General features: G+C 41.2%; 2 protein-coding genes and 1 non-coding gene across 54 annotated transcripts in view, besides 2 other annotated features; 2 read left to right on the forward strand and 1 right to left on the reverse strand.

The window, feature by feature from the left end:
* PTCD3 (pentatricopeptide repeat domain 3) overlaps positions 1-12,035 on the forward strand; it is a 35,923-nt gene extending 23,888 nt beyond the window's left edge. Inside the window, exons 15-24 of the mRNA NM_017952.6 lie at positions 526-615; positions 956-984; positions 2,196-2,302; positions 3,056-3,134; positions 3,224-3,314; positions 4,170-4,255; positions 4,717-4,865; positions 6,399-6,440; positions 6,860-7,018; positions 7,347-12,035. Of these exons, the coding sequence (NP_060422.4) occupies positions 526-615; positions 956-984; positions 2,196-2,302; positions 3,056-3,134; positions 3,224-3,314; positions 4,170-4,255; positions 4,717-4,865; positions 6,399-6,440; positions 6,860-7,018; positions 7,347-7,437 (923 nt within the window). The 3' untranslated portion in view covers positions 7,438-12,035. The remainder of the gene's footprint in view (positions 1-525; positions 616-955; positions 985-2,195; positions 2,303-3,055; positions 3,135-3,223; positions 3,315-4,169; positions 4,256-4,716; positions 4,866-6,398; positions 6,441-6,859; positions 7,019-7,346) is intronic.
* On the forward strand, positions 5,748-5,884 carry SNORD94 (small nucleolar RNA, C/D box 94). The gene has a single exon (NR_004378.1). It is a non-coding gene; the product is annotated as a small nucleolar RNA, C/D box 94 (small nucleolar RNA).
* Positions 11,044-11,338: a silencer, noted in NCBI's record as "tiled region #1812; HepG2 Repressive non-DNase unmatched - State 14:Gen5'". NCBI's record gives its function as "represses a minimal TATA promoter and a strong SV40 promoter by Sharpr-MPRA in HepG2 cells {active_cell/tissue: HepG2}" and the evidence as "EXISTENCE:reporter gene assay evidence [ECO:0000049][PMID:27701403]".
* The window catches only part of IMMT (inner membrane mitochondrial protein), a 51,527-nt gene continuing 41,551 nt past the window's right edge, over positions 13,814-23,789 (reverse strand). For 43 of the 52 annotated variants that reach the window (NR_174397.1, NR_174395.1, NR_174400.1 and 40 more), the window contains 5 exons: positions 23,438-23,452; positions 21,175-21,398; positions 17,580-17,711; positions 15,946-16,075; positions 13,814-14,759 (listed from right to left, as the gene is read on the reverse strand). Coding sequence is in view for 43 of the 52 variants with exons in the window: in NM_001400117.1 (NP_001387046.1) it covers positions 14,146-14,759; positions 15,946-16,075; positions 17,580-17,711; positions 21,175-21,398; positions 23,438-23,452 (1,115 nt within the window). In the remaining 9 variants the exon portion in view is untranslated. Of the gene's footprint in view, positions 14,760-15,247; positions 15,366-15,437; positions 16,076-17,579; positions 17,712-21,174; positions 21,399-23,437; positions 23,453-23,789 lie in introns of those variants that run through there. The other 9 variants (NR_174399.1, NR_174398.1, NM_001400119.1 and 6 more) reach the window with 3 other exon arrangements.
* Positions 13,890-14,090: a silencer, noted in NCBI's record as "peak3777 fragment used in MPRA reporter construct". NCBI's record gives its function as "represses an SCP1 promoter by STARR-seq MPRAs in K562 erythroleukemia cells {active_cell/tissue: K562}" and the evidence as "EXISTENCE:reporter gene assay evidence [ECO:0000049][PMID:32103011]".

Here is a 23,789-nt window from a genome sequence, read left to right on the forward strand (position 1 = left end):
AACCCCTCCTCTACTAAAAATACAAAAAATTAGCCAGGCGTGGTGGCGAGGGCGTTAGTCCCAGCTGCTCGGAAGGCTGAGGCAGGAGAATCGCTTGAACCCGGGAGGCGGAGGTTGCAGTGAGCCGAGATTGTGCCATCGCACTCCAGCCAGGGCAATAATGCAAGACTCCATCTCAAAAAAAAAAAAATTTTGTTTTTCTAAGTATGCTGGTTTGGTGAGGGAGTGTGTGTTACTGTCTGCCGCCTACTTCAGTAAGTCAGGCTTCATGTGAAGAGACTAAAGGAAGGAGAAAGTCTCAGTGGAGCACATGAACAGAGACCTGTGATTATTCCAGATTTTACAGAGAATTGCTCTCTGCAGGGTATAGTGGTTCCTTTAGCAAGCATTGGCCTCCACCCAGATCTATGCGAGGACTTAGGCTGGAGGTGGAGGAAGGAGAAATGTGTCCCTTTGTATTAGGTACAGTGAGTTTGGTGGTGGTAAAGGAAGTGGATTAAACACATTTGCTTTCTTGTTCTGCAGGAGACCCTTTAAAGAGATCATCCTTCATCATTTATGATATAATGAATGAATTAATGGGAAAGAGATTTTCTCCAAAGGACCCGGATGATGGCATGTATAGAAATCACTTGTGTTTTCCTCCTCTAAAGACAGAGGGCCGGTTTACCTGAGTACCAGTTAGAGGCCTTGTGATCCCTATAGCTTAGAAGTATTTTTTTTTTTTTTTAAATAAATTTGAGTACATAGTAGGTGTATATAGCTTAGTAATATTTGCCATGGTCTTTCTGAGAAAGCCAAAATTGTGGTACATTCCTGCCTCTCTTAAGTTTTTATGTTCTTAGCTTTATCTTGCATGTTACCAGTTTTGTTGGCAGGATTTTTGTTAATGTTACTGACTTGAAAATATATTTTATCCATTGTAACCAAAGCTCTTGTGAACTTTGATTTTCAGATAAGTTTTTTCAGTCAGCCATGAGCATAGTAAGTATCATTTCTTTATTAATTTGCTATCCATTTCCTAAATTTATCTGTAACTGGAGGGTTCTCCCTGGTTCTTTTCACTTTCTAACTCTTCTGTTCATGTCTTTGCTTCTGTTTTTTCTTCTTTCTCTAAAATCTATAATTTTTTTTTTCTTTGAGATGGAGGTTCACTGTGTCCCCCATGCTGGAGTGCAGTGGCTCACCGCAACCTCTGCCTCCTGGGTTCAAGCGATTCTCCTGCCTCAGCCTCCCGAATAGCTGGGACTACAGGTGTGCGCCACCACACCTGGCTAATTTTTGTATTTTTTGTGGTAGAGATGTAGTTTCACCATGTTGACCAGACTGGTCTTGAACTCCTGACCACCTCCCAAAGTGCTGGGATTACAGGCCTGAGCCAACGCGCCTGGCCTAAAATCTGTACTTTTCAATCACATACTATCCCTACCCTTTGTTTATTGTTTACATTGACATTTTTCATGCCCCTGAACAGATAAGCTTCCATAATATTTCAGATTTGCCTATTAGTAAGTTAAAATTGATAATGGTTTTTATTTTAGTTTATGTAATCATGCTTATCATAGGAAAAATTTCAGGCAGTTTTAGGATGAACCTTGTTCCCTAAGGGTAATTTAATTGCTTTACTATTAGATTGGTGCAAAAGTAATTGTGGCCTTTGCCATTACTTTCCATGGCAAAAACCGCAATTACAAAAGCCGCTACTTTCAATAGCAAAAACCACAATTACTTTTGCACCAACCTAGTATTTAGTATGGATCCTCACAAGGTTTTTACTCTGGGTACTCAAGCGTATGTATATCCAGGCATACTTTCAGGGTGTTTTATTTGTTGGCAGCAACCAGTATTTCATAGTAAGAACCATAACTTAACTTTCCTGTGGGTAGATTTTGGAGTTATTTCATGGAGATTTTTACTAGTCCAGACTCTGCAGTGCAGGTGTCTTTTGTGCACTTGACCAGGTGTTGTTACAGGATTAATTTTTAATGGTATAATTGCTTAATTAAAATAATATTGTAATAAATTTCACAGAACTTGGGATTTGTCTCCCCCCCATTTCTTATAACTTACTTGCTGTCAACCAATAATATGTTGAATCAACATTATTTTCACAAGACACTCTACTGTTGTTATTTATTTGTGAACCACTGGCTGACAGGGTATCAGAGTGATACTTACTACTTGCATATTTTCAGTGCTCATCTCTCAGAGATCTAGAACTTGCCTACCAAGTACATGGCCTTTTAAAAACCGGAGACAACTGGAAATTCATTGGACCTGATCAACATCGTAATTTCTATTAGTAAGTGTGTTGGAAACATATCCTTTTGCATGAGTTACCAGATTCTGCAAGTGGGAGGCTGTTGATGTCCCTTCATACCTCACCTCTGGTTTCAGGCAACATGCCAATGATCTAATAGGACATGTTAATTGAGCACTTAGGAATTAAAGCAGTGGTAAAACTGCCAGATTTGAAAGACTAGTTTGTGTCCTTTAAGGGTTTTTTTTTTTTTTTTTTTGCAACACTGTAAAATCCACATATCTTTTTCCTCTACCCCCTCTCATTTTACATTTTCAAATTGTTATAGCAGGGTGAGCCCTGAAGATTTCCTTTCACCTCCCTTGCTTTTGTATTCAAAGATGAAGATACTGGAACCTAGAGATACTCCCTAAATGGGTTTGCTTTTAGGCAGATAAGAACATGAATTTAAGAAGGCAGCATGTTAACAGATGTGTGAGAATTGTTTTCTGTGTATCCAAATCCTTGTTTCACATTGAATGTTTTTAAAATGAATTTGAAATTCAGTATCTATTCACCATGACCTAAGAGTATACAGAGGAAACAGTTAGAAATGACCAGTTGAGGGTAGGGTGTTTAATTGAGAAGTCAGCACACACTGGCAGCTCTTAAACCAAATATTGGCTCGTTTAACTTGAAACTGTAAGTATTTTGAAATTCTTTGTAACATATAATATGCTATAATTTCAACCCTTATTTCCCCTGTTGTTAGACATAGGGACTTTAGACTAAACATACTTTTTGCCTTCATCACAGTTCCAAGTTCTTCGATTTGATTTGTCTAATGGAACAAATTGATGTTACCTTGAAGTGGTATGAGGACCTGATACCTTCAGTAAGATGGTTCATTACTTGTTATTTATCATTCTAGATGAATTGGGTTTCTGCAGATTAATGCTTTAAAAATGTGTTTCTCTTAATCAGGCCTACTTTCCCCACTCCCAAACAATGATACATCTTCTCCAAGCATTGGATGTGGCCAATCGGCTAGAAGTGATTCCTAAAATTTGGAAAGGTCAGTTTTACTTTTTATGTGTCCAGGTGCATCTCACCTCAATATCCTCTACTTTGATAATGAATGTGCTAACATTACTGTTAGGGATGAAAACTTCCATTTTGACTGAACCAAATGTGTTAGTTGAGATGTACTTCAAGGTCATGTGCTCATGTTGCATGTTGGCTATCAGGAGAAAATTTTGTTGAAAATGACTTAAGTCAGTCCCTTCGTGACATAGGAATGAGCTGAGTTTTGTGCACCTGTTGCGGGATATGACCCAAAGAAAATAAATGCTAATGGCGTGGCAGACCCTAAATCTGAATAAAGGTCTTTGACCCGGAAGCCTGTGTAATTCCTCTGTGCCAGTGTTGCCTCACTTCACTAACCACAGTCAGTGATGATTCTGTTTCCAAGTAATAGCCATGAGCATCACGCATCACGGGTGTGTGTGTCTTATGTGTATAACTTGGCTGCAAAATGAAATAGATATTCTGTATCTTTCACTAGGTGACTACTGTATCATAAAGTCAGTAGGCTCTAGTCCCGCCCTCCTGCTTCACACGACTGCTCTAATGAGTGATAAAAGTATATCAAATTCCCAAGTGCTATAAAACAACGTCTTAACCACGTGGAGCTGGTGGCTGCTCCCATGTAGTGCACATGCCGTGATGAACACGTCACTGGAGCAAGGCCCAGGCATTGGCTTTTACATTTGTTCCACTGTGAATCCTGGTGGGTTTCTGGAATCCTGGGATAAGCCTAGAATAAATAACAGCAACTTATTTTTACCTACCAAAAAATAGGTTGACAGTGAACAAAAGTGTGTTGGTTTTACATAACAATGATCACTCCTTGTTCCTTTCTTGTTTCAAGATAGTAAAGAATATGGTCATACTTTCCGCAGTGACCTGAGAGAAGAGATCCTGATGCTCATGGCAAGGGACAAGCACCCACCAGAGGTAGGCCTGAAACTCACCAGCCAGTATATCCTCCCATACTGAGGTCTTCTTAAGGCTAGCTTCCCTGGTTTTATCTGCCATTTTGGAGAGTTCTGCTACCCAAACCCATATTTGAGTGATGATACATCTAAACATATCTTGCCCTTAGCAGAAATCTGTTCTTAAAGTTACCCTCTTTCCTGTAGTCCAAAGCAAGCAACATGAAATTAGCTTCTGTCTTCAGCTTGCTTTTTTAAAAATCTCCATCTACAAAGGAAATGCATAGCTGAATTTGAAAGTTGTGGCTAATCAAAATACTTAGGACAGGGTCCTTTTTTTATTAAATTACTTGTGTGCTATACACATAATATATTCAAATGGTAAAATGCATTGCTCAGATTTTAAGGATCCTGTGTTAGTCTCCTGAACTGAAATTCTCATAAAATCAGTTAGGCAGTTCTGCTGACTCCTAAGCTTCTCAGCTTCAGGTGGCATTTGCTGACTGTGCTGCTGATATCAAATCTGCGTATGAAAGCCAACCCATCAGACAGACTGCTCAGGATTGGCCAGCCACCTCTCTCAACTGTATAGCTATCCTCTTTTTAAGGGCTGGGAGAACTCAGGAAGCCTGGTGAGTACAGTACCACAAGTATACACTTTAGAAGCTTTTGTATTTGAATCTAAAACATTGGCCCACGCTGGTAGAGGTTCTTTCATTTGGCCACATAACACGTATTTGATTCGGGAACTTGCAAATACCAACTAAAAAGCAAACTTTTGGAAGAAGACAGTATGCATGATGTAGTTGAGATAAGGCATAGTTCTCTCAAACCATACGCTGAGAATTATCTTTCTACTTTCTGTGTCTATGGACAAGTAAGTCACTTAACCTCATTATTCCACTTAAATGAACTAAAGATCAAAGAAATATATGATCAAAGAAACGTAGTTTTGAAAATGGTTTGGTCATTTGGGTTATTGAAGTATTTTTGGATGCTTCTCCCATCCCACTCTCCAGCTTAAAATGTGGGCTGTGTACTTAGACTTCTGGAAGCTGGCATTTACGCACATTAACTAAACTTGGCCTTGACCACAACCCGTCCTTGATTGGTGCCACTGTGTTCTGGTTATGTTTTTATCAGCACTTCATTCACATACTAATTTTTAGTGTTTGTGAATGGGAACCTTATGCATATTCATGTTTCCAAAAATGAGCAAAAGGATCTTTTGTAGGGGTAGTGACAGGTGGTTTTCCTGTATTTTGTTTTGTATATAAATGTGTGTTCTAAAAGTCATTAGTGGGGGGTGCTTGTGCATGGCTCCTTGTACAAGAAAGTAGCTTTATTTGAACATCTGATTGCTAGTCAGCTATCTCCAGGAAAAGATGATGAAGGCTTGTCTTTGAGGTGTGGCTCACACGTGTCTCTCTAGCAACTATGCTGCTAGTGACAGAGACGTATGACATTTGCATTTGGTTGTTAGCGCAGGCAGTTTGGCACACACTTGATACAACCAGGCTGTGATGATTGGCGCAGGGGTACGGACCTCAGCTGAGTCATGGGAGCTGAATGTATGTGTTTCTCCTTTGTCCTGCATGTGGCAGGCTGATGGGGAGCACTTACATGAGACTGTTGCCTCAATCTGAGCCTGCACTTCATAACAGAATTCTAAGACAGACTGAACCCCTGCTGTACTTTAAGAGAGGGAAACAGCAGGTTCTGTTCTATGCCTCTTTTCCAGCTGTGCACAGGATGGATTCCCTCCTTAGAAGGACAGTGGTGATCCTCTACAAGAGGACAAATACAGTTGGAGTATCCCTTTTCCAAAATGCTTAAGACCAGAAGTGTATGGGGTTTTAGATTTTGGAGCATTTTTGGATTAGGAATATTCAACCTGTACCAGCAAATCTTGACATTGGCAGCATATCAGATTTACCTGTGAAAACTGCAGTGTAGATTCGTTTGGGGAGTTTAAGCACCTGCGGTGATTCTCATGTACACACAGGGCTGGGAGCTAGTAGAGCCCACAGATGTGTGTCTTTGGGAGCTTACAGTATAGTTAAGAAAAGGGCATTTAGTCTCTGATTTCAGAGAGAAGACAGCTATAGTGTCTGATTGCCTTGTTTTTCTAATAGTATTCATAATCTTTTTCCTTTCTTGAGCAGGAAAATGTTGGGGCTTTTCAGGAAGCATAATAAGATTCCTAGGTAAGTTGAAATCAGCCAGCTCTCTTTGGGTACAGCCTGGAAGTAGCCACATTTGGAATTTCTTCACCAGCCTTAGCCACCACATTTGGGCACTCTTCTGTTAGGCAAGCATACCGTCAACTCCCTACTATCCAGGGCATCCTGAGGCAAGCAGTTTTTTATCTGTGTTGACGGATCATCATACATTGGGGCTACATTGAATAGATCATCATGAAGTCATACTGAATGAATGTTGATAATCCATTTGGCCCTTTAGACTTTCTAACCTCACTGGAAACAAGTAAAAATAAATGTTAGACTTCATCTTTGTCTCCAGAAATACTGTTGGGAATTCTGTTACTGAACTTACACTGGATCTTGCCTATAAATGTTTTACTGAAGGGGCTGGAGAAAGTTCACACTTTGCCTTTCTTTTACAGAAGTGAGTTGCTGAATGAGCTTATGGACAGTGCAAAAGTGTCTAACAGCCCTTCCCAGGCCATTGAAGTAGTAGAGCTGGCAAGTGCCTTCAGCTTACCTATTTGTGAGGGCCTCACCCAGAGAGTAATGAGTGATTTTGCAATCAACCAGGAACAAAAGTAAGTGGTCACCATGAAGCATAGTTTGTAAAATGGAGACCTTTCATCCATCTGCCCATTCAAAATGTTCATAGCTTTCTATCCCTTCTATTTCCTTTCAAAAAGTCAGAATGTAGTAATTTAATGACTATTTCATTTGTCATGCAAGTCAGGAAAGCCTATAGATTTGACTGTTAGAAGCTTTTTGTTTCTAATATAGTTTAATGCAACTGCAGGGTCCCTTTTTCTGATTTCAAAACTGACAGGCTATAGGTGAGTGTCAGAGACACCGAGAACCCCAGCACCCAGTTGAATTGCAGTGTAATCCTCCATTTTCTTTTCTTAACAGGGAAGCCCTAAGTAATCTAACTGCATTGACCAGTGACAGTGATACTGACAGCAGCAGTGACAGCGACAGTGACACCAGTGAAGGCAAATGAAAGTGGAGATTCAGGAGCAGCAATGGGTCTCACCATAGCTGCTGGAATCACACCTGAGAACTGAGATATACCAATATTTAACATTGTTACAAAGAAGAAAAGATACAGATTTGGTGAATTTGTTACTGTGAGGTACAGTCAGTACACAGCTGACTTATGTAGATTTAAGCTGCTAATATGCTACTTAACCATCTATTAATGCACCATTAAAGGCTTAGCATTTAAGTAGCAACATTGCGGTTTTCAGACACATGGTGAGGTCCATGGCTCTTGTCATCAGGATAAGCCTGCACACCTAGAGTGTCGGTGAGCTGACCTCACGATGCTGTCCTCGTGCGATTGCCCTCTCCTGCTGCTGGACTTCTGCCTTTGTTGGCCTGATGTGCTGCTGTGATGCTGGTCCTTCATCTTAGGTGTTCATGCAGTTCTAACACAGTTGGGGTTGGGTCAATAGTTTCCCAATTTCAGGATATTTCGATGTCAGAAATAACGCATCTTAGGAATGACTAAACAAGATAATGGCAGTTTAGGCTGCACAACTGGTAAAATGACTGTAGATAAATGTTGTAATTAGTGTACACGTTTGTATTTTTGTTAATATAGCCGCTGCCATAGTTTTCTAACTTGAACAGCCATGAATGTTTCATGTCTCCCTTTTTTTTTGTCTATAGCTGTTACCTATTTTAGTGGTTGAAATGAGAGCTAGTGATGACAGAAGGATGTGGAATGTCTTCTTGACATCATTGTGTATTGCTGGTAATCAAGTTGGTAACGACTACTTCTAGCAGCTCTTACCACTATGACTTAAGTGGTCCTGGAAGGCAGTAAGTGGAGGTTTGCAGCATTCCTGCCTTCATGAGGGCTTCTACCACTGACCACTTTGCACGTACCTGGCTCCCAGATTTACTTAGGTACCCCACGAGTTGTCCACATAAGCAGCTTCATCTTTACCTTGCCAGAGTTGACAATTATGGGATACTCTAGTCTACTTATACTTGTGTTCCCATCTGTCTGCCATCCTCTGAAGGCCGGGACCCAGTCATACATCCTTAGAAACCAAAGTATGGTTTTTGTTTTCTCTTGGAATGTCAGGTCTTAAGGCATTTAATTGAGGGACAAAAAAAAAAAAAGCCGATATAGTAGCTAGCTACTTAAGCATCCATGGGTATTGCTCCATATCAAAGCAGATTTGCAGGACAGAGAGAGTAAATTAGCCTTCAGTCTTGGTTTACAGCTTCCAAGGAGAGCCTTGGCCACCTGAAATGTTAACTCGGTCCCTTCCTGTCTCTAGTTCATCAGCACCTGCAGATGCCTGACTCTTGTTAGCCTTACTATTCAATACAGTCCTTAGATTCACGGTATGCCTCTTCCTATCCAGGCACCTATTCTGAATCACCATGTTGCTCTGCAGCTAGAGTTGATAGGAGAAAATCCATTTGGGTAGATGGCCTATGAATTTGTAGTAGACTTTCAAAATGAGTGATTTGTTAGCTTGGTACTTTTAAGTTTGTGGTACAGATCCTCCAAACCCATACTCTGAGCAATTAACTGCCTTGAACATAGAGAAAAATTAAGGCCTCACAGGATGAGTCTCCATTCTCTGTAAATGCTTATTTTATCATAGTCTTTAGCCTCTACTATGAGTAAAATGTTCTCTTCGGCCGGGTGTGGTGACTCACACCTGTAACCTCAGCACTTTGGGAGGCAGAGGTGGGAGGATCACTTAGGTCCAGGAGTTCGAGACTAGCCTGGGCAACATAGTGAGACACCGGATCTACAAAAAAATAAAAAGCCAGACTGGTGGTATGTATCTGTGTCCCAGCTAATTGGGAGGGTGAGTTGGGAGGATTGTTTGAGCCTAGGAGAGGGAGGTTGCAGTGAGCCGTGATTGCACCACTGCACTCCAGCCTGGGCAACAGAGCAAGACCCTGTCTTGGAGAAACCAGAATTTTGGAAGAGCAAATGGGGCTGAGTGCAGTGGCTCATGCCTGTAATCCCAGCACTTAGGGTGCCAATGTGGATTACCTGAGCCCAGGAGTTTGAGACCAGCCTGGGTAACAGTGAGACCCCCCTCCCTACAAAAGATTTTAATAATTAGTTGGGCGTAGTGGTGCATGCCTGTAATCCCAGCTACTCTGGAGACAGGTGGAGGGGATTGCTTGAGCCTGGGAAGCTGAGGCTGCAGTAGCCATGACTGCACCACTGCATTCCAGCCTGGTTGACAGAGTGACCCTTGTCTCCAAGAAAAAAAAAAAGCAAATGGGATTAAGGACTCATGGAATGGGAAGGGGAAGGGGAGTCTTACTATATGTGGAATAAACTTGCTCAGTGTTGCCACAGAGTTACATTACCAATGTGTAGAAGTCAGAAACTAGACTTCTAGTTTGGTTCAACATTTGAGGGTTGTTTTATAGCCATCAAAGTATTCAAGAGGTTGGATGGCACTCAAAAGATTCTACATGTCTAGAATCAAACTCAAATCTGGCACGTAGGTGCTTCTTAGTAAATGCTTAATGAATGCCACCAACTCTGCAAAGTATTCATTGATTTTGAGACCTTAGTCATGTTGCTACTAAAAGTAGGGCATATGACCGCCTAAGAAACAGAACTTCGAGAAGTCCTAACGTAACCACAGTAAAGCAGACTCCCCTTTCAGCAACCTCAAAGCAAAAAAAAAAAAAAAAAAACCAGTTAGCTGCTATATAAACACTATACCAAGCACTAGGCTTAGAGGAAAAGATGTCAGATTGTACTGTCACTGGCTATGTACCCATATTCTCTAAGACAGGGTAGCATTTGTCTTTCAAACTGCAGGGTTTGAAATCAGTTTTTGTGGGTGATTGCAATTTTTTAATGAAATGCATTAGAACATCTAAGCACGTCACCTACAGTTTTGTGATGGTGCATTTTTGCATTGCAGTATAGATCTGTGCATAGATATATGCATTAAGTGTAGCAAATCGTGATGTAAATTTTTTACTGCTGGTCATGGTCAAAAAGTAAGATACGCTAGGAAATTGAGTCACTAGGAGCATGGATGTATAAGGCAGGTTTTATACAACCATTTAGATTCAACATTAATGGTAGAGTGGCATTTTACCAAAAAAATGGGTGTATTTGATTTGGGTGCTGTAAGGCAATTTGCTAGGACATGGGATAATCAGATTACACAAAATCTAGGCAGTGAACAAGTCTTCATCCTGGCCCAGGAAATAGCCTATTAAAAAATGCTGTCCAGGCCAGGCACAGTGGCTCACACCTGTAATCCCAGGACTTCGGGAGGCTGAGGCTGGAGGATTGCTTGAGTTCAAGACCAGCCTGAGCAACACAGTGAAAACCCATCTCAAAAAAAAAAAAAAAAAACCAAAAAAACTGTCCAGCTGTGGACTTTCAGGATTCAGGACTGCTGGGGATCAAGCCCAAGGATGTTTTTCAGAGCTCTGTGATTTAAGATGCTCGAAAAGAGTGTCCAAGAGGAGTAAAGGTCATGACAGAATTTACTCCCAGGACAATCTAAGTTCTGCCACAAGTACCCGTGGTGTCTGTTCCCACAACAATGGCCCTTTCACAAGCTCTTGCCTCACAACCCCTGCAGAAGTCCTTCAACAAAACTAATAATAGACTAGTGAAACCTACTCCTCACATGGGTAAGAGTTGCAGTGGGCAGGTGACCCTCCTCCCTGCCCCCATCCTTTGCTTCCTCAAGCTCCCTGCCAACCTCTGGATACATCAATGGGAAGGAAACCAGGGAAGCATAGACCTATAGTACAACAGGGGTGTAGTGACCACTGGACCTGATGAAGCGAATCTGCCTGAAATTTAATACGCCTTTTTATTTCCCTTCTGTGTTAAATCAAATGATCTGTTCTGCACTGAGCCAAGCAAGTTACTTTTAAAACTGGTGGCACCACTCATTTGGGACTTGGAGACTGCTTTTATCCAGAACCTGTTAAGAGAACAGGGGATTTAAATACAAAGGAATATGAAGGTGGTGTGCCTTAAAGACAGTCTAAAATTAGGTTTTAGTTTGTTACATTATTTTGAAATATTAAACATGAAAATGTTAAATCAGGATGTGTGAGTTTTAAGATGTTGAACACTGTCCTACATCAGTGAGGAGGGAGGCAATAAAGTAATTTCAGAGTAAAACAGATTGAGGATGAAACCAAGACAGAAGTGATGATTTGGCTTTTTATGATTTTTGCTGTGGAAATGGCAGTCGTGTGACTTTTCACTTGCAGTTTAAATGAAAGGGTGAAGAGAAGCCTACCTGCCCTAATGGCTCAGGGCTATATCCACCTCCCGGATAACCCTGGCCCTTGGGACTCCATCATCTCCTTGAAGTAGCACTGAGAATCCAAGAAGAGGCTCCGCTGCTTTTTGCACATGTTACTGAGTTACATCTCAGGAAGATTTTTAAGCACGAGGAAGGAAAATACAGGCCTGGCCAAGCAGGGTCCCCTTTTCGGTATCATCTTTGTTCCTAATAAGCAATCAAGGGGGGTGGGTGTGTTGGCTGGTAAAGGAACTACTAAGATTCAGAAGCTTGTAGTCTTCATTATTTTGTTTTACAGGTTAAAATAAACCACTTGACTGGGCACGGTGGCTCACACCTGTAATCCCAGCACTTTGGGAGGCCGGGGTGGGCAGATCACAAAGTCGGGAGTTCGAGACGAGCCTGGCCAACACAGTGAAACCCCATCTCTACTAAAAATACAAAAAAATTAGCCGGGCATGGTGGTGGGCACCTGTAATCCCAGCTACTCGGGAGGCTGAGGCAGGAGAATGGCTTGAACCTGGGAGGCAGAGGTTGCAGTGGGCAGAGATTGCGCCACTGCACTCCAGCCCAGGCGACAGTGCGAGACTCTGTCTCAAAAAAGAATAATAATAATAAATAAACCACTCAGTATTGCTGCTTCTAAGTTCAGACAGATAATCACATCTGAAGGAAGTTATTTCAGGGCTCCAAGAGAAACTTAGATTTTCTTATAACCTATAATATTTTACATATACAAGTCGAATGGAAATTATAAGCATTTCTAATATGACAAATAGGGAAGTTTAGCTTTACAAGTAATGTATTTTGCAATTTTGTGCCATTCGAAAAAGGAAGACTGAATTTAGAACAGTCCTATTATCTCCTAATAAAAACTTAGTATCCTCTAGGTAGGTGCACAGAGTGCCTCTGCCTTTGAGATGACGGGCATTAATCTCAGGAAGGAACACAAAGCATGTGTTCCAATCAGAAACTAAATATATTTTGTTGAATTAAGTAAATCCACTTAGGAGGGAATATAAGGACTATTGACAACATTAACACAAGCCAAAGGTGGACCAATATATCCCAAAATCAAAGGACAAGGCCAGTGCCATACACCTACAGATGCAGAAGCTGCCCCTTTTGTGATTCCAGATGTGTTGCCCAGATAAAAGTGCCTCCTCAATTTCTTTGTGAACACACAATCCCCAACAAACAGTTGTAATTTTGAAGAAAGTTGACATTTTTATGTAGAGATGGTGGTCTTCATGGAGTAAAAGAATTTGTTAGTGCTTATGCAATATGACAGTTGTACTAATCTTTAGAAAGATGAACTGAGAAAGTTCTCTGGGTTTTATAGCAATCTACATCAAATACACAACAAAACTATTTAATCTCTTCATTAAGATTCCAGGCTCCCCATCCCCCCACTTTGAAGGGATTCACAGCCCAGGTACTAGAAAGAACTAAGCTCCATTACCAGTGTTTTAGAACTGTCAGCTGTGACCCATAGAGGGCTGCTGAATTAACTTGTGGGTAGAGACCAACATTTTAACAAGTCACTAGAACGATATATCCCCAATTATAAATACATGTGGCACTTTGGCTTGTATATTACTCTTTTGAGTCTGAGCAGCAGGAATCAATTCACCAAAACCTTCAAAGGCAAAAAGCAGGCTGTGGACTTCTGGTGACGCAATTCACAGCCTGGAAACTGTGAGCTAGAAGTTCCTACTTCTGCTGTTGTTGTTTCTCAAGGATATTTTCTGTACATACAACAAACTAGAATTTTTTTTTTTTGAGACGGAGTTTTGCTCTTGTTGCCCAGGCTGGAGTGCGATGGTGCGATCCTGACTCACTGCAACCTCCACCTCCCAGGTTCAAGCGATTCTCCTGCCTCAGCCTCCCGAGTAGCTGGGATTACAGGCATTCGCCACCACGCCCAGCTTAATTTTGTATTTTTAGTAGAGATGGGTTTCTCCATGTTGGTCAGGCTGGTCTCGAACTCCCAACCTCAGGTGATCCACCCGCCTCAGCCTCCCAAAGTGCTGGGATTACAGGCGTGAGCTACTGCACCTGGCCAGAACTGTACTTTTTGAAAAGGGATAAGATACTCAGTTTTCATCTTGTTGCTTTATTCAGTTTGCTCCGAGGGCAAAATCAACAGTAGTAGAGATCACAAACATTATTTTGATTGGCCTCACAAGCCTCATCAGTAAAACCTGAAAAAACAGAAAATGTTACACAAGTTGCAAAGAAAGCACTCCTGGCGTTCACTGACATGATAGCAAATGGAAAGAATATAAATGCAACAGGTGTTAACATTTAGAACAGTACTTGTAAACCTGCTCATTTCTAGACAAGTCCGGGACTCTCGCTGCGAACCCTTCATCTATCACTGCTGATTTCCTTTGACATGAAATATGACTTTATGAAAATCTTCCTAAACCTCACTCTGGCTGCACCTGAGTGGTTCCTATTCCTACGGCGCTGGCATATGCTGTCAGGATTTCCACTATCTGTTTCGTTTCTAGGGTCATTCGGGCTTCCTTCAGCCAGTCCTGTGCCACTCGTCTGGATTCCCCCTTCAGCTGATTGACAAACTTTGCTGCTAGCTCCAGATCACCATGCTCAATGCAATAGGAAGCATATGACAGTAATTTAAATGTGTTTATATCCTCAGGGCAGAGCTCTGGGGGCGGCTTCAGTTGCTGAGGTGGGAATAGGAGCAGGGACTGTAGGTAGGAGAGGAAGTACTGGTACAAGCTATTTCTGGTTTCATCAATCATTGCTACCCTTCGGGCCAGTTTTTGAACAGCATAGAAACGGGCTCTAAGGGTCTCTTCACTGTACACCCCACGGGTCAGGGACTCTGGAGGGATAGCTGCGGTTAAAGCTTGGGTGAATTCATTATCAGAACAGTTGGCTTTGATGGCCTCAACTGCACTACCCAGCGGGATAGTAGGTGTTTCTGCAGATGAGGTCTTCATGCTGTACTTTAATGCCTCCACTGAAAGCCAGAGTTGGTGGGCTTTTCTGGCTTCCTCTTCAGCAACTGCATGGCCTACAAAGAAAAAAAGGCAAAGCCAAACATTTTTCTCTCCATCTGACAACATACATCCACAGAACTGATGCACATTCAACAAGCTACATCTACACATGTGCAAGATGAGGCCAGAGAGACTTTCTTACAACCCCACCCCCACCACTTATTTCTGGTGTATTTTCCTAGCTGGCCTCTTCATATCAAAGTCAGAAGTCATTCACATCTGCATGATATCTAATCCACATATTTTTACCTTTACTAGTTGAGAAAGAAACATATTATTTAAATTAGGCTAAGACTTAACGCTAAGGCCATGAGAAATTTTCTGCAAAGAAATGGGAGACTTCAGGGCCAGGCACAATGGCTCATGCCTGTAATCCCAGCAATTTGGGAGGCCGAGGTGGGTGGATCACTTGTGGTCAGGAGTTCAGGACTAGCCTGGCCAACATGGTGAAACCCTGTGTCTACTAAAAATACAAAACCTAGCCAGGCGTGGTGGCACGCACCTGTATTCCCAGCTACTCAGGAGTCTGAGGCAGGAGAATCGCTTGAACCCAGGAGGCGGAGGCTGCAGTGAGTCGATATCACACCACTGCACTCTACCCTGGGCGACAGAGCAAGACTCTGTCTCAAAAAAAAAAAAAAAAAAAAAAAAGAAATGGGAGACTTCAAACGAACTTAACAGACTACTGGATCTTGAAATTCCATGAGTATTGAATTTATTTTTATTGTTATGTGACAAAAAAAGATTCCATAACATCCTAAAAAAACCCATTTTATTAATACCCTCATTGTCATGACATTTCTCTTTCAATGTGGCACATGGAGGCCTCAGCATAAATACTGTCCATTTGGTAGTTGGACTCGGCAAATCACCACCTCCAGATAACCCACCAAGTCTGTGGAAGGCAAGCATGGGACCACACTGACCCCTAGCCCTTACCACCCAGGCACATGCGACATAGCCAAAGGATACTGGGTAAATAGCCTTGTAAATGGTGATTTTGTGTTTGTCATACAAGGTATAAATTTCTAGTTATATAGATTTTGCCATTACTTTTAATGGCAAAAACTGCAATTAAGTAGAGTGATTAGTATTTTTATGTCCTGATGTCAGTACATGTACCCCATTTTCCCTATAAAATTATTTTGATAAATTATGCTGAGGAAAATTATCTGTAAGATAAACATAGCTTATGCTTACTCTGAACAGCCTGTTCGATTCCTCTGAGTCTGGCATAGGCAGTATTTATATCCAGAGTAAAGTTGTCAACTTGCTCTTGACTGAGACGACGAAATTGTAATTCTTGTTCAGAGAGTTTCTCAGACAGGTTCTGAAATAAAACAGAAATAGTTCCAGAAAAAAGTGATACTCAATGCATGTCATGTAACTGTGTAATCTTCCAGCAACTACTTGCTGAAGCAAAGAGGGCCTTAGAGTTGTCACGAAATTCCTACATTTTGTGTAAAGTTTCAAAAATGTCCTGACTCATATTTGATGTATATAATATATTTTTTTTTTTTTTGAGATGGAATCTTGCTTTATTGCCAGGTTGGAGTGCAGTGGCACAATCTTGGCTCACTGCAACCTCCGCCTCCCAGATTCAAGTGATTCTCCTGCCTCAGCCTCCCAAGTAGCTGGGATTACAGGCATGCATCACCATGCCAATTATTGTATTTTTAGTAGAGATGGGTTTCACCATGTTGGCCAGGATGGTCTCGATCTCTTAACCTCGTGATCCGCCCACCTCGGCCTCCCAAAGTGCTGGGATTACAGGCGTGAGCCACCGTGCCCGGCCGATGTATATAATTCTTTACAGGTTTACTGATGGAACCTAATATTAGAGGAGGCATACCAAGAGAAGAGAGAAGGCTGTTAAAGTCAGAAACAAACTGCCAACTGTATTTTATTTTTGAGACAGAATCTTGCTCTGTCATCCAGGCTGGAGTGCAGTGGCACAACCTCAGCTCACTGCAACCTCCACCTCCCAGATTCAAACGATTCTCATGCCTCAGCCTCCGGAGTGGCTGGGATTACATGCATGCACCACCATGCCCAGGTAATTTTTGTATTTTTAATAGAGACAGGGTTTCGCCATGTTGGGCAGGCTGGTCTTGAACTCTTGTCCTCAAGCGATCCACCCGCCTCAGCCTCCCAAATTGCTGGGATTATAGGTGTTAGCCACTGTGCTCAGCCACAAATTGTCAGCTTTAGAAAGTAAATTATCTGTACTGCAAACCTAAACATAATAATTAGATTAAATTATATTCTAATATCTTGTATTTAAGAGCTTATACATTAATTTTTCTCAGAAAAATATCCAAATAGAATTTAAAATACCTTTTCATACTGACATACATCGCGATTCTCTGGAAGATTTTACTTAGAAAACCTCAATATCTTCTTGCAAGACAAAGTAACAAGTTAATATTACTGTAAATGATTTCTTGAATAGAAACTATGATTACAGGCATCCTGATAATTTACTGGGATTTCAAAACTTCTCTGGGAAATTACCTCAGTTATAAAAATCTAAGCAGTACCATGCCATCTATAGGAGGAAGATACACATGTCAAATATTACTGTCTGCATTCCTGAAATCCCCTTTACCAACTCTCCTTAAAGCTCTGAAGATTCCAAATGACTAGAATATATATTTTAAAAACACATCTGATCATGAACACACAGGTACACCATTATGTAAAAAGAAGCAGTTTTGTAGACATACAAGGAGATTTCCAAATCTTCGACATCCTCAGAGTACATTAAAAGGAAAGGAGAGTCTCTTAATCCTGTCAGGAAGAGGGGTGTGGCTGAAGGGAGTCCAGGTCCTCACCTGCTCAAATTCAGACTTCAATTCCTGTTCTTGTACCCTAAGGACATCTCGCAAGTGATCAGTGTGGGCAGCTGCCTGTCGGCGAAGCTGGGTTCTCATTTCATTTTCCATGGCATCTCTGACTTCTTCTATCTGTGAAACCAAACATAGTAGTTATTAGTTTTCAATTCTCCACATATACTTTTAGGAAAACAGAAAGACCACTATCAACCATGACAACAGCAGCTTCCATATCCTGAACGCCTCTAATGTGCCAGGCATGTGTACACTTCTACTTCTCATGTGAAACGGAAAACTAAACCCTGGAAGGTGATTCAAACAAGATCACACAGCTGTGGCAAAAACCAGATTTCAAACAAAGGTCTCTCTCACCCCCAAACTTGTGGTTTTTCCACATCACCAGGCTGCCTCTCATATAAAACACTGCCATTTCCTGAATCACATGCTCCTCTGAGAAATAACTAAATCCAGGATATGAAAAAAAGTAACTATATACTTGGAATCAAGCGTAGCTTTACTACAACCATCTGTGTGACCTTGGGGAAATGATTTATCTTCTCAAATCTCCACTTTCTCATTTGTGAGTAATAATGCCTACTTTGAAGAATCATTAAGAAAATTAGTTGGCCGGGCGTGGTGGCTCACACCTGTAATCCCAGCACTTTGGGAGGCTGAGGCAGGTGGCTCATGAGGTCAGGAGATTGAGACTATCCTGACTAAAATGGTGAAACCCCATCTCTACTAAAAATACAAAAAAAAAATTAGCCGGGTGTGGTGGCGGGTGCCTGTAGTCCCAGCTACTCGGGAGGCTGAGGCAGGAGAATGGCGTGAACCGAGGAGGCAGAGCTTGCCGTGAGCCAAGATTGCGCTGCTGCACTCCAGCCTGGGCGACAGAGCAAGACTCCATCTCAAAAAGAAAAAAGAAAAGAAAATTAGTAAGTATCTGGTAGTTATTGACATAGACTTGACATAGACTTCTAAACAAAGAAAACTGCTTATTTTTAAATGAATTTAAATTCAACATGGGCCAAAAAAAACCAAAAAATATACCTTGCCTAACAAATAGCCATAGGTCACTTTACAAATTACTTAACACTGATTACCTGAAATCCAGAACTTATTTTTTCTCAGAAACAATATAATAAATCAATGAATCCATTCAGTCAGTGCATAAGTATTTATGAAGTGCTACTAGCCCTGTGTGCCAGGCAGTGCCTACTATCTGTACGGATCCAATGGTGCTTAGGGCAGACGAACTTCTTGCTCTCACAGTGTATATCTCAATGGAGGCAGCAGACAGTAAACAAAAAAGACATCTGAGATTGTGATACATATTTCTACATATGACTGAGCAGGCAAGGACCTGTTGTGAAGCATCAACACCCCTTCAACCTCCTTTTCCCCCACCTTACATTTAAAATAAACAGGGCAACATAACAGAAAGTAATACAGAGACTCTACTTTGGACTGAAGGGATAGGAAATCTCAGTCTTGCTAACAAAGTGACATCTAGGCTTAAAACTTAAGCTTAGAGCTCAAGGTTTAAACAGAGAGGATAGAACAATGTACTAGGCAGAGAAAACATAAAGGTCCCAAGACAAAAGATATAGTCAAGGTACAGACAAAAAATACCAGGGTGCCTGGAGCAGTGAAATGGCTCATGGCATGCAGTGATCAAGAAGCCTTTTGGGTACTGGTTAAGAATTTGGAATTATATTAAATGAAATGGGTAGTCCATGGAGGATTTCCAGCAGTGTAGTGTCTGATTCGACTATGTTTTATTTGCCTGCGTAAATAGACACAGAAAGAAGGGTATGAAGAAAGGGCAAATTGGCTGGGCATGGTGGCTCACACCTGTAATCCCAGCACTTTGGTGTTTAAATTCCTTGGGGAAGGCCGGGCATGGTACCTCATGCCTGTAATTCTGGCGCCGTGGGAGGCCAAGGCAGGTGGATCACTTGAGGTCAGGAGTTCGAGACCAGCCTGGCCAACATGGCAAAACCCCGTCTCTACTAAAAATACAAAAATTAGCCACATGTGGTGGCATGCACCTGTAAGTCTAGCTACTCAGGAGGCTGAGAGGCACAAGAATCACTTGAACCTGGGAGGCAGAGGTTGCAATGAGCCAAGATTGCACTACTGCACTCTACCCTGGGCCACAAAGACAGACTCTGTCTCAAAAAAAAAAAAAAAAAAAGAAAGAAAAAGAAAAAATAGTGGAAGCTGTTAAGATGACAGCTTGGGCTAAGGTGGTAGTAATGGAGTGGACAGATTTGGGATTTATGTTGGATGCAAAACTGGTAGGATCTGTGGGGCAACTGAATATGAGTTGATGGAGGAACAACAAAGCATGATTTGGGCTGGAATAGCTGAGCAGATTGTTCAACTCAGTTTATTTAGAGAGAAACAAGTTGAGGGGCTGGAAGACAGGTTGGAGAGAATAAATAAATCTGTTTGGAGCATGATAAGCATGAAATGACTACTGAAAATCAAGCTGGAGATACCAGGTAGGCTGCTGGATAGGAACCTGAAGCCAAGGCAGAGGTCAGAGCTGGAGATAGACATTTATCAGGTATAGATGGTATTTAAACTTCCAAGTCACGGGACTCAACAAGAACACTTAGAGACAGTTCAGATGGAGAAAACGTTTCAGAACTAATGCCAGGTATGCCACCATTTGAGAGGCTGAGCAGAAAAGGAGGTTAAGGAGTGGCCAGCAAGGTAAGAGAAAGGCCAGAAGAGTATGGTGTCAGGGAGCCTAGGGAAGAAATAGTTTCAAGAAGGAAGGAGTGGCCAGTAGTACTGCTAAGAAGACACAAAGGTGGGATGAGTAGTTAGGTTCCCAAATCAGCCTGTGGACACCTATTTAATAAATGGTGTGCCCAGACAGAGGGCTAAAGAAGCTATTTCACCTGTTTTTTAACCACCAACCACTTAACAACAATAGCAGAGAAAAATATACTCAGACTCCAACAAAGATTCGTTCAGCACTGCTTTAAGGGACAGAGGCTCAGCTCCACTGGAAAGATGAGCTAGATAATCCTGGATACCAGTAGCTTATTCCTTTCTTACACTTCTGCATCTGCTCAACATAAAGGAACTCTGCTCGATCACTCCTTTCCTAGAAGTTCTGATGAGGGGAATGAGGACCTAAGCTCCATTCTAAAGGTCAGCTGGCATGACTTATATTCAATATCCTAAAGCCAATGACTGTCAGTATTTTTTTTTTTTTTTTGAGACAGTCTTGCTCCATCGCCCAAGCTGGAATGCAGTGGCACGATCTTAGCTCACTGCAACCTCTGCCTCCCTGGTTCAAGTGGTTCTCCTGCCTCAGCCTTCCGAGTAGCTGGGATTACAGGTGCGAGCCACCACACCCAGCTAATTTTTGTATTTTTAGAAGAGACGGGGGTTTCGCCATATTGGCCAGGCTGGTCTCGAACTCCTGACCACAAGGGATCCACCCACCTTGGCCTCCCAAAGTGCCGCGATTACAGGCATGAACCACTGCACCCGGCTGAGCCAGTATTATTTCTACAAGTAAACAATCAAGTTAGAGTCACTTTAAATGTTAGGCAACAATTCTCATTTCTCTTACCTTTCTGTCCTGTTCAGCCTGTATTTCACTTCTGTGATGTTCTAATGCTTTTGCTACTGCAGAGTCAAATGCCCGCTTTTCTTCCAGCTTTTGTTTCTCCAAGGCTAACGTGATGTGCTGCTTTTCGGTGGCCTTCTGTTCTGCCAGCTCTCTGTTCAGCTGATCAATACGACGATGTGCATGAGCAATGAGGGAGTTCAGATCATCAGTAGAGAGCTTGTCAGCTAAGCAAAAGAGCATGTTAAAATATTAATGATGTCACTGAAATTATACCTCATTACAAGGTAATCTGCATCAACTGATTATAATTTAAGAGCAGTAAACGAAAGTAAAACTTAGCTAACATGAAAAGAGATTTAGATTCCCCAGTTCAATCAGAAATTGGCTAGTGTCCAATAAGGTATTTTCAACCCCTGGCAAAATTCAGGTAGGCCTTCAGATAATCAGTTGTTTTCCAGGAACCCTCTTTTAATCTGAACTAATTATAAATGGACTTTCTCATTTACTGTAACTTTGCCTTTAAAGACAAAACTTATATATACAATCACTTCTATATTTTCTTTCAGGCATAACTCTGATTAGTTATAACAGGCATCCAATTGAAGATTCTTTTCTGCTAAAACTAAAAATCAAATTCAAATTCTCTCAGACTTTTCCTTAATAAGTTTTTTTACTTTTCTTAAACACATATGATCTAGATTAAATCCCAACACAGCAACCAGAGCTGTCCATCAGAATCACTGCAAAGCTTTTTAAAATACACCCAAAGATTCTCATCTAGGCTTAAACCAATGTTTGTTTTTTTTTAAAATCTCAATCCAAAAATGTAGCAACACATACACAGATTAAGAATTATGGCTCCAGCCAGGCACAGTGGCTCACACCTGTAATCCCAGCACTTTGGGAGGCCAAGGCAGGCAGATCACCTGAGGTCAGGAGTTCGAGACCAGCTTGGCCAACCTGGTGAAACTCCGTCTCTACTAAAAATGCAAAAATTAGCTGGGCATGATGGTGGACACCTGTAATCCCAGCTACTCGGGAGGCTGAGGTAGGAGAATTACTTGAACCCAGGAGACAGAGGTTGCAGTGAGCCGAAATTGCGCCACTGTATTCCAGCCTGGGCAACAGAGCAAGACTCCATCTCAAAAAAAAAAAAAAAAAAGAGAGAATTATGGCTCCACCGGCCAGACACAGTAGCTGATGCCAATAATCCCAGCACTTTAAGAGGCCGAGACGGGTGGATCACTTTAGGCCAGGAGTTTGAGACTAGTTTGGCCATCATGGTGAAACCCTGACTCTACTAAAAATACAAAAATTAGCCAGGCATGGGGGCACATGCCTGTAATCCCAGCTACTCAGGAGGCTGAGGCACGAGAATTGCCTGAACCCAGGAGGCGAAGATTGCAGTGAACTGAAATTGTGCCACTGCACTCCAGCCTGGTGACAGAGCAAGACCTTGTCTCAAAAAAAAAAGAATTATGACTCCATCACTTCTTAGTCTTTTGGCTAAGATGAAGTGAAGAATTATGGCTCCAACAGCAAAATATGGAATGTAGGAAATTCTATATGACTAATGACTCAATTTCTTAATAAATACATTGAAAAGCAAAAAACAAAAAGGGGCAAGAGATTTATTGACTAAACTCAACATGTGGAACGTCTATGGGTTATCGATTCAAATAAAAACTGTAAAGACTCATTCTATGAAATAATAGGGGATATTTTAACACTGAATGGACATTTGGTGACTAGGGAATTGTTACTAAGTTTTAGGTGTGATAATAGTATGGTGATGTTTTTGAAACATACTGAAAGTATTTACAAGTGAAAGAATGTGATATTTGAGTCTGCTTTCTATATAAGCTGAGGAGGAGTGGGAATAGATGAGACAAAACTGGTCATGTGCTGATGGCTACAAAACTGAGTGATGGGTCCTGGAAGTTCTTTAGTTTTCTTCTTACTTTTTAATGTTTGAAATTCTCCAAAGTAATCAGTTACAATCCATATTACACACACACACACACACACACACACACACACACACACTTCACATCTATAGGATTCCAATCACTTGATGAAACATTTTCATTCCTGAGAGCATTCGGATGCCAAAAATATCCAATTCAGATTTATCATGTGACATAATTCTACTTTATATCTATTTAGATGGCTTTGTGTAAGAATCATAGGCACAACAAAAAGACTTTAGTCTCTTAATACCCAAAACAAAAGACTTTAAACATGAAATATACATAACACTCACCTAAGTCTGAAACACCTACAAAGGAAAAAATAGAACAGTTTGAAAAAAAAGAATGCACATACTTTAGTTATTGATCATTAAACAGAAATATCTAAAAGGAAACAAGAAGGAATCGGAGACTAGTACCAGGAAAAGCTATTTTAATACTGGAAAATGAAATGATACGGCTATTTTCTAAAATTTAAACTGTAAAACAAGACAAATCAAGGTAAATAACATTTTAGAAAATAAAAGAATCATTGATATTAATTGTGGTTTTGGTTTCAAAGGACTTATCTCTGTTTCACAGTAATCAACTTAAATTTTTTGTTTTTTTGTTTTGAGACAGAGCCTTCCTCTGTTGCCTAGCCTG

The sequence above is a fragment of the Homo sapiens genome, chromosome 2, assembly GCF_000001405.40.
Source record: "Homo sapiens chromosome 2, GRCh38.p14 Primary Assembly".
Lineage (NCBI taxonomy): Eukaryota > Metazoa > Chordata > Mammalia > Primates > Hominidae > Homo > Homo sapiens.